The sequence below is a fragment of the Homo sapiens genome, chromosome 14 (genome assembly GCF_000001405.40).
Source record: "Homo sapiens chromosome 14, GRCh38.p14 Primary Assembly".
Taxonomy (NCBI): domain Eukaryota; kingdom Metazoa; phylum Chordata; class Mammalia; order Primates; family Hominidae; genus Homo; species Homo sapiens.
In genome coordinates, this window is record NC_000014.9 from 64,870,583 (window position 1) to 64,880,704 (window position 10,122).

General features: G+C 45.8%; 1 protein-coding gene across 6 annotated transcripts in view, besides 3 other annotated features; it reads right to left on the reverse strand.

The window, feature by feature from the left end:
* Window positions 1–9,325, reverse strand: part of SPTB (spectrin beta, erythrocytic) — a 133,625-nt gene extending 124,300 nt beyond the window's left edge. For 3 of the 6 annotated variants that reach the window (NM_001355436.2, NM_001355437.2, XM_011537105.4), the window contains exon 1: window positions 9,210–9,325. The gene's annotated coding sequence lies outside the window, so the exon portion shown is untranslated. Of the gene's footprint in view, window positions 1–1,739; window positions 2,097–8,696; window positions 8,866–9,209 lie in introns of those variants that run through there. The other 3 variants (XM_017021612.3, XM_047431724.1, XM_024449699.2) reach the window with 3 other exon arrangements.
* Window positions 9,436–9,605: a silencer, noted in NCBI's record as "silent region_5842". NCBI's record gives its function as "represses an Ori minimal core promoter by ATAC-STARR-seq in GM12878 lymphoblastoid cells {active_cell/tissue: GM12878}" and the evidence as "EXISTENCE:reporter gene assay evidence [ECO:0000049][PMID:35858748]".
* Window positions 9,656–9,795: a silencer, noted in NCBI's record as "silent region_5843". NCBI's record gives its function as "represses an Ori minimal core promoter by ATAC-STARR-seq in GM12878 lymphoblastoid cells {active_cell/tissue: GM12878}" and the evidence as "EXISTENCE:reporter gene assay evidence [ECO:0000049][PMID:35858748]".
* Window positions 9,866–9,945: a silencer, noted in NCBI's record as "silent region_5844". NCBI's record gives its function as "represses an Ori minimal core promoter by ATAC-STARR-seq in GM12878 lymphoblastoid cells {active_cell/tissue: GM12878}" and the evidence as "EXISTENCE:reporter gene assay evidence [ECO:0000049][PMID:35858748]".

Genomic DNA, 10,122 nt, shown 5'->3' on the forward strand with positions numbered 1-10,122 from the left:
GACGAACTATCACCCAAAGACAGTGTTCTGAAACAAACACTTCTCAAGTTCAGTTTGGCCCCCAAAATGAGGATAATAAATTTTTGCCCTTCCCTTTGGAGATGTTAAATACCAAGGGGAAATATTAAAATTGCATGGACGGGTTCCTTAAAAGATTATAAATAGAATTACTATGTGATCCAGCAATTTCACATCTAGGTATATGTCCAAAAGAAGTGAAAGCAAGGTCTCAAGGAGATATCTGCCCACCCATGTTCACAGCAGCATTATTCACAATAGGCAAGAGTAGAAGCAACCCAAGTGTCCATAGACAGATGGAGGGAGAGGGAATGGAGAGTTAGTGTTTAGTGGACACAGTGCTTGTGTTTTGGAAGATGAAAAACGTCCATCTTTTTCATGATGATGGGGAGGGATGATGGTGATGGCTGCACAGCAATGTGAATGTGCTTATGCCACTGAACTGTATGTACACTTAAAAATGGTTAAAATGGTAAAATTTATGTCACATATATTTGAGCAAATAATACACATATACAAAGAAAGTTAATAAAAGAATTTGTGATTATGTTCAAATAGGGTGCATGTATCTAGCCCTAATTTAGCAAGTTTGAAGAAGGGAGAGATTACTGTGGAGTGGAGTGTTCCAGGACGAAGACACAGCCTCGAACCCAAGTTCTGATGGAAAACACTCCAAATCTGGGAGAAATGGTCAGGACTCAGTAAGCAGAAGTGGACAAACTTAGTTTAAGTAGAGGGTTTGTGATGGAAAGTGGTAAAAGAGTAGAAAAAAAGAGACTGGTGCCAGAATAGAATGGCTCCTTAAAAGCCAACTTTATGAGTTTGGATTTCTACCTCTACCCAGAGAAGAACCACTGGTGGCTTTTGAGAAGGGGTGTTATATGATGAACACAGTGGTTCAGTGTGGGATGGTTTGGAGAGGGAGATCCTTAGTTGATAGAAAGTGGACTCCAGGTCGCTTAACTTGAGGGCTACCAAGGTGACTACAAAGTCTACTAAATCTGAAACCTAACACGTGGTGCTGCTAGCTTAAAGCTATGACTTTAAAATGTATCAGGCCAAATGCTTGCACATGAATGGAATTCTTCTCAAAGCATACACAGAAACTGTTGACAGTGGTACCTTCTTAGAAATAGGGCTGAAGTTAGGAGAAGACTTTTACTCTTCATTGTATACCCTTGTATAATATGGATATATGTTTTAACCACGTACATGAGTTTATTTTATAATTTAAAAAGTTTTTTAAATATGACAACCAGGAAGCATCAAAAAATATTTGGGCTTTAACCAGCCAATTCAAAACATTTCTAAAAATAAAGTGAAATATATTTCAATCTTGTTTCTCCCATATCTTAATCTCCATCACATAGTATAAACGTTGTGGGACTGATCTAAAAGTAACAGTACAAAGTACACAGCACATCTAAAGCTTCGCTTCAAACAGATGTCATGAATCATCCCAAAATAAAAACATCTCCTTTTTGGTGTATTTAAATGAAAAGTCTGCCAAGACTATTCCAAGTCAACACCTCGACAAAAACAGAAATTAAAAAAAAATAGCCCATGGTACATTTGATAAAATACATCACCATCTCAGTAAACGACCTTTTTGTTCATCCAGTTGTTCAGGCCAAAAACAATGGAATCATCTTATTCTTTTTCTCTCATCCTCTATATCCAAATCTCATAATCTCTATACTCAGAACCCAACTGCATCTCACCAGGACTATCATCCTGATCCATCCTCTCGTCCTGAACCACCGCAGTAGCTTTCATGGGACTCCTTGCCTCCACTCTTGTGCCCCACAATCAATCCTCCTTAGGGCCGCCAGAAAGATCTGCTTGAGACACAAATCCCAACAAGTCACTCCCCTGCCCACAACTTCCAGTGGCTTCCTATGACACTTGGACTAAAACTCAAAGGTCACAAAGCCTGCACCATCAAGACCCGCTTTTCTCTCCAGCACTGTGGTTAGCTCTCCCCATGACACCCTGCACTCAGGCCACACTGGCCTCTTTGCTATTGCTTGGACACAGCAGTGGCCCCACGTTGGGGGCTTCCCATTTGGTATGGTTTGTCTGTGTCCCCACCCAAATCTCATCTTGAATTGCGGCTCCCATAATCCCTGCATGTCGTGGGAGGGACCCGGTGGGAGGTAACTGAATCACGGGGGTGGGTTTTCCTGTGCTGTTCTCGTGATAGTGAAGAAGTCTCATGAGATTTGATGGTTTTATAAAGGGCAGTTCCCCTGAACATGCGCCTGCCACCATGTATGACATGCCTTTGCTCCTCCTTTGCCTTCTGCCATGATTGTGAGTCATCCCCAGCCATGCTGAACTGTGATTCAATTAAACCTCTTTCCTTTATAAATTACTCAGTCTCTGGTATGTCTTTATTAGGAGTGTGAGAACAGACTACCACTCAACCTGAATCTCTTCTCCCAAACATCCCATGCCTCTCTCCCCACTTCATTTGAGTCTCAGCCCAAATGAAGCCCCATCAGATAGTGTTTTCCCAACCACCCTACCTGAAATAGTAGAACCACCCTTCTTTCCCTTCATATTGCTTTATTTTTCTTTTTAGCACTTGAAATTACAATATATATTTTTGTCTGTTGCTTGTCATTTAGTTCCTCTCTCCCCCAACTACAATGTGCACTCTACGACTTCAGACATTTTTGCCACATTCACTGTTACATTCCCTGGGCCTACAGCATGTCTGGCAAATTAAATGAGAACTCAGTAAATATTTGTTGAAGACTGACATACAAATCAAGGCCCTCAAGATCACTGGACAAAAAGAGGCTGCTGAAGTCCAAAATGAAGCATAAGCACAATAATGCCCAGTAAATTTGGGGTAAAGGAATGAAAAACCCAAAACATCAATTAACGGGCAGATGAACCCTTCATTTATCTATGGCATGCTACTGAGAATCCATTAATTCATGCTTTGGAACAGCATCTGTGCATACTCTGGAGGGCCATTCTTGAGGTTCTGTGGCTATGGTAAAGGGTAATACCATTAACAAGTGTCTTCTCTCCAGAACCAATGAACTTATGTGGAATATTCTGCTGAAGAAAAAAAGCAACCGCGGTCTCAACCAGAAGGCCCAGAATATTCAATTACTCCACTGAGAAGACCTGGAAACAGCCCCAGCCTCAGAACTAGGCAACTGGGTCAAAGTCAGGTTTTGGAATAAACTACTAGAGGGACATTGAGTATATAAATGTACATTTCTAATCCTGTTTTGTAACTGGAAACCAGGAATAATCAGATCTTCCCTTCACATGCTCATCATAAGATAAAATAAGATGATGTGTAGACAAAGGCATGCTGAAAATTGAGTGGACTATAGTTATCTGTGATCATCATCTTGTACTGGCTGGGATCTAATTCACTTTCTCTTCACTGCCACTGGTGAGCTTTGTCAACAAAGATTTCATCACACCCCTTTATGACTTAAAAACTTCCAGTGGCTCAAACTTCTTCACAGGCTGAACCCCAACCACCTTTCTGGTCACACTTCTGCCATGTGGAACTACACTTCATCCCCTAACCTAATCATGCTTTATTGTCTGTGCTGGGCAATTTCCTAAAGCCCCACTCGCAGGCCCCCTCATCCTCCCTTCTTCCATTATAGAAATCCTAGGCACTTTCAAAGGTCTTCTCATTCCCCAACCTGAATGAGATGTTTCCTCCTGTACACCCTCTCTCTCAGGCATCCTGTTGAATCACTGCTTGTTTGCAAGGCCATTTTCGCACCAGATCAGTGATTCTCCATCTGATCTCTTTGTGTGTCTTCAGCACATAACAGTGTAAGACACGTGGTAGACACCCAATGTCTGCTCTTTTTGAATACACCTCAATTCTCTCTCGGGCCTTTCTACCTCTAACTCTCTATGACTTATGACTCGAAGTCAGTATTATGAAAGGCCTTTTCTTGCTTTTCCACCCTTCTGGAAATATACTGGAAGATGAAGCTAATTGACCACTCCTAGGGTTCTTCTAGAAACAGGCTGGGACTCAAAAGAGGGACAGAATAAGGTTACAGACTTCTTTCTGGTCCACATAATTTATGCCTTTAAAGTATGCTTTGTTTTATTTGAATTGCTATACATTCTCAAGTGAGACACGCCCATATTTAAGTCTGGTACAAATGGAAAATATTTTCAAAGTATTCATTTTCGGAATTATTCAAGTTTCTTCTCCTTTTCACAATGGTGGAAACTCCTAAATTGACTATAATTCGAAGCAATTATTGTTCTTTAGCTATCAAGGTGCCGTTAGTCTCTTCATAAATATCCTGGATGATCTGAGCCTGGTTCAATGCAAAGCCTATTTTTTTTTCAGCCCTGTGCCTTTTCACTTGCTAAATTTATAACATTCAAATGAAAGAAAGGAAGCCCACTTTTGCCCCCACTGCTCACATGATATATGCTGAGTTTTAATTGCCCTTGTAATTCTACCCTCAGCCAGGTCTGCACAGGTATGATGTGGAAATAAAACATTATGGCAAAGCCTGAGAAGGGCTTGCTGAGGTAGGAAGAAGAGGGCTTTGTAATATTTCCTGCAACCAGGAAAAGGAAAGAGAAAAATGAAAGGTGGTCTGGGAATTTGATAAGCTAGCCAGACAATTCATTAAGGAAGCATTTTCTGTCTATGACCACCTCTAAGACTACGTGAGCTATAAAGGCTAGGGATCCCCTGATGGTTTGATATTCAGCTGAGGCTGGCTGAAAATGGAAGAATGTGGATCACTTGGCTGTGAATTAAGAAATACACGCAGCAACAGAGGGAAACACACTATGGCATTTTCTAAATATTTACCAAGGGGAGTTGGCAATCCGTGAGCAGAGCCAGATCTGACAGTTAATTCTCCTGACTGCCTCCTACGCTCTTCCTCAATCACTATCTCCATCTCCAAAACAGGTGACCTTCCCCTAATGGGGTGAAGAAGGAAGCATCTCTGTGATAAACCCAGCAAATGCCACATGATGATTCTGGCACACAGACCACTGCATCTACTCTTCTTCCTCAGATTTCTTATCTAAAACAGAGGAGTAACCTACGATCTGTCTGTTAAAATCAACTGAGTCAATACAAGCTGCTTCAAAGATAAAATTCTTCTTTCCACAGTCATTTTTGGCTTGTGATATCCATATGGTTTCAGAACCCAGTATCCATGAACTTCCTTGCCAGTCCTCATTATATAATCAAATTTCTCATCAGCCCACATAGCACAGTTATTTTCACTCTTGATCTTCCCAAGTTCATTGATAAATGTTAATCTGTAGGTCTCAGGTTATTTTTTTAAATTCTATAATTTTAAAATTCCATAACAAAGAAACATATTTTAAATCACTTTTTAATTAATTCATGAATTAGAGATGGCACCTCATTCTGTTGTCCAGGCTGGAGTACAGTGGCACAATCATAGTTCAGCCTCTCTAACTCCCTGGCTCAAGCAATCCTCCTCCCTTAGCCTCCGAAGTAACTGGGATTATAGGCATAAGCCACTATACCTGGCTTTTTTATATCAATTTTTTGTTTGTTTGTTTGAGACACAATCTCACTTTATTGTCCAGGCTGGAGTGCAGTGGCGCGATGTCGGTTCACTGCAACCTCTACCGCCCAGGTTCGAGCAATTTTCCTGTCTCAGCCTCCCGAGTAGCTGGGATTACAGGTGCCCACCACCACACCTGGCTAATTTTTGTATTTTTAGTAGAGATAGGTTTGGCCAGGCTGGTCTCGAACTCCTGAGACCAGCCTGACCAGCATGGTGAAACCCCATCTCTACTTTAAATCTCCCACTGGTCATGTTTCCTACCTTTTCAGGTCTTGAGCAGACAGTAAAATTTTGTGTTTGATTTTGAAATTAAAGTGCTGCTCTTCAAGAACAATTTGGTGATTGGGTTTAGGTTAAAACACGTATCTGACGGTCTCAACAGTTCTCTAAAGTCCTTCCCCATGCCCCCCAAAAATGGACATAATTACTTAAGATTTCTTGTCTCTAGATCGTAATGTGTATAACTATTGTTTTAAAATGTATACATGTGTACACCTTACAAGCAATGGGGGAGATTATAGAACAGTTTAGAGTTTAAAGCCTGAGACTGCCTTCTCTCCTGCTTATCCTCAGTACCTTTTCTTTAAGATTGCACTAAAATGAAAGGACTAGATATTAAAAACACATCCTCTCATAATCTCCTCCAAAGGAAATAAAATCTCAGTAGTTTGGTTAGGCAGAACTTCAGGAAGTAAACCATATTGGCCTTGAGAGTGAGACAGGAAAGAAATGAACTCGAGTAATAAGAAGTGTGGGTGCCATAGCTACACATCAATGATCAGGTACATTCAGTTAGGTCTTGCCTTTAAGCCAGTAAGTATGCACATGGAAGGCTGGGTTCAGTGACCTCCAGAATCCCTTCCCTCTCCAATAGTGTTTGCCTCATGAATTTTTTATAGCCATCCTCTGTCCTATCACACTGTCCCTATGTATCATCAAGCCCTCCTGGCCACTTCCAGGACTGAAAGGAAAATCTGTTCTTTAAAAAAAAAAAAAAAAATCCATGCTTTGACTCCTGCCAAAATTATAGTTCTGTCCTTGAAACAATGACCTGAAAATAATGGGTAAGGCTAAGAACCTCTGAGCAAATAAATGCCCAATATTATCTTCAGATAATATTTTTTAAGCTCCTCTGATATAAGCAGAACTATTACCTGAGGTCCTGGGAATGAAGATTATGAAGCTAGAAGACAAACAGTCAAATCTTCCCAACTTGTACTTTATATTCCCTGCTGAGTGTCTAACCTTAAAAAGAAGGTAGAACCAAACAAACTGAGTTTGAATCCTGGACCCATCTCTCATTAGCTGGGTAATATGAGGCAAGTTATTTAATCTTCCTGAACCTGTTTCCTTACTTGTAAAATGTTGATATGAGCTACCTTATAGAGTTACCATGACAATTAAATTGGATAATATAGAGAAAACGCTGAGCATTCATTTGTTGGTTTCCTCATTCATTCAACAAAGGTTAACTGAGGTTCCACTACCATCCAGGTACTGGGTACAACAACATAAAAGACAGAATAAAAGCTATTATTATTTACCAAAAACAGTTTGTTTCCAGAGCTGCAGCAGACCTGTCAAATTTTGACTTTAGTTCAAAACTGTCATTCACACCTAGCTTGCCTAAAATACTCATTTTTATTTTGCCAAATGTGATCCCAGGTAGGAGTCTTGCTCCTGTCATACCTTCACCCCCAAAACTAGTCATCTAGCAGGCGTTCTGCTATAGGACACCTTCAGAACACTTGGAAGAAGCATTGATCAGAGCCAAAGGTGGTATCCCAACTCTCTTCTGGGCAAGCCGCTCAGGAGAACTTGATACGCCTGTGCTACAAGGCCCATCCTGGATGCCTGGGAGTCCTTGGGTGCTTACAATTCCATGAGTGGACTCTGAGTCTTCCCAGAACTCAAGATCAATAGGACTGGCTCATCCCCATCATTGCCACTGGGGCACTGATAAAGCTAAGAGCAACAGCTAAGGGGTCTGAAAGCCACATTTTCATGAGCGTTTATGTCTTTCAATGGTGCTTTACTCTAGAGTTTTTGATAAAATTCTTTATAAATGACCCACCTCTGGAGTTAGTGGGTTTCAAGGCTGGTGGGCTCTTCTTCAATGTAAGTTTAACATTCCCTTTCCTGGCTAGCCTGCAAGCCTCCAGGCAAGCACAGGCCTAGCTGTGTCAGGTGCTGGACATTCAGCATACATTAACAATCATTTTGCACTTAGAAAAAAAAAGGTGTTTTCAATTGCATTTTGGAACCTGGGACTCAGAGCAAAAGAATAAAAGCTGAATCCTAAAATAAGAAATGACCTGCCTTGGGTTATAGTGGGGGAAGGGGTGGGCGAAGAGGGAATTCTAGAATAAAATTCAGAGCCATCTGTGAAGCTAAGGATAGGACAGTGGACAGTTGAGCTGTGCCTAAAAATCTTTGATTTGCAGACTCCTCTCATTAGGGAGCCGCCTGAATCTCTTCCCTTAGAAACTAAAATACGGATCGTGACTACCTCCAGGCAGGGGTTTTGCATGACTGCCTCCTACCTGGAGGTGACAGCCTAGTCTCTCCCCACAGAAATTCTCAGTACAAAAAGGCTGTCACTATATCCCCCCACCCCACCCCCCAATCTGATGCATCTAAAATTTAGATGTACAAAAAACAGTGGCTTCTTTTCATTTTCCTTACTCCTGGCTGGCGCCTCTAATTGCTCACTGAAAACAGTGGTTTGGATATTAATAGGCTGTAACTCAAGGCCCTACCTGAAGCTCGTTGTCAGGGAAACAGCACTCCAGCCCCGCAGCTGCTTCCCCAGCCTGGGAAGTACGGATGAGTTGGTGGGAGTTGGGGATTGTTTTACAGCTTCTGTTATTTCTCCCACTTTCTGCTATTTCTCAAGACCAAGTTAGAGGAAGAGGGGAAACTGGAGAGGAGGGTGAGGGTAGAGTAGCCCGGAGAAGCTTAGAGGAAGAGAGGAACTCTTTGGGAGAGGAAGACTAGGGGTCCTTGAAGTATGGCTTGGGGCACTAGGATCTTTCCTCCCTCGGTCTACACGGGGTCACTCTCTGGGTGGCTCCCAGCACCCGGAGGCCCGGCCCCCTCTGCTGCCCTCACCTGTCCCTCCTGCCTGGGCGCTGGGTGGCCCGAGGAGAGCGCAGCCAAGTTCCCCAGAAGAGGGATATGAGCGGCCACAAGGCTGAGAAGCCGGACAAAAAAAGGCAGAGAGCAGCGCTGCGGTCGGACGGGCTAGAGGCGCAATCCCCTTCGCTCCCAGGCCGGGGTCCTGGAGAAGGCGGACGAGAACACGCACCCCCGTCACCCTCTCCCTGCGCCCCGGGGTGACGGACTCTCCGGGATCCCGCTCTCCAAAGCTAGCACCAAGTGCCTCGGACGCCCGCGCGCGTTCCCGCGTCCCGGGATGATCTTTGCCGCAGCTGCCGGGCTTCCCGGGCCCCGCACCCCTCCCACCCCACGCCCGACAACCGGGGCTGGACTCCCACCCGGTCCTCTGGGCCCTGCGCGTCAGGCGCCCCCTGGGCCCAGCGCTCCTTTGAGCTGGCGCCGCGCGTCCCAGCCTTGCGCACCCGCACCCAGCTCCCTTGGCCGCCGGGCCCTCCTGGGACTCACCTGCCCTGGGACTGAAGCGGGGGCCACCCCGAGCCCGGGGGTGGCGGCGGCGGCGGCGCAGGGGGAGGAGGGCAGCGCGGGGCTCCTGGCACAGCGGCCGCCGGGCGCCTGGTGCTGCCGAGCCGCGGACCCGCCCAGAGATATAAATAACATTATCTGAGGAGGGACATTCCTGCCGGGGGACATCGCTGCTGCCGGGACCAGATAGTCCCGCGGCGGGGGCGGGGAGGCGGGGCCGCAGCCTCCCGCAGCGCCAAGCCCAGCCCCCGCCTTCCCCACCCACTCACGCACCTGCCAATCAGCCTCCGCGCCTGGGGGCACCTGCCGGGCCTCAGCCCGGCTCCTGGAACCCGCCTCTGCCTCCCCGCCCGCCGCTGAGCCTGGGGCGCCTCCATCGTCGTTCATTGCCCCTAACCCCGCGCCACCCCGAGCCCCCTGAGGCGGGAAGGGGGTTGGACTCTAGCTCGGGCCTAATTCGTGCGCCCGGAGAGGCAAGCCTGGTGGCGAAAATGAGCCCTCCAGCCTTTCCCGCCCTGCATCCCCACTGCACACAGTTCAGTTTTTAAAATATATGAAAAGACATTTAGGCCATAGGGTGGGCGCGGCGGGTACCCGGGAGGTGAACCCCCGCCGTGGCGGGTTTGGGAGGGACAGATTGTTCCCGGGGGCTGGTGCATTAGAAAGCGCGCTCCCGGGCGGGCTTCTCTCGGCTGGCGGTGGGAGGGCAGGGGGCGGGCACTGGGCCCGAGGGCCCCACCCCCAGCCCGAGCTCAGTGTCGCTGTTTCTGCCCGAAAACCTAGTGTAATCAGGACGAACCAGGCAAAGCTGGCGGCGCGCAGCCTGCAGTCCCAAGGAGCTCGCACATTGTAGGGACTGTAATCAACAGGCAGGCTGCCACACCTGCCCACTGGC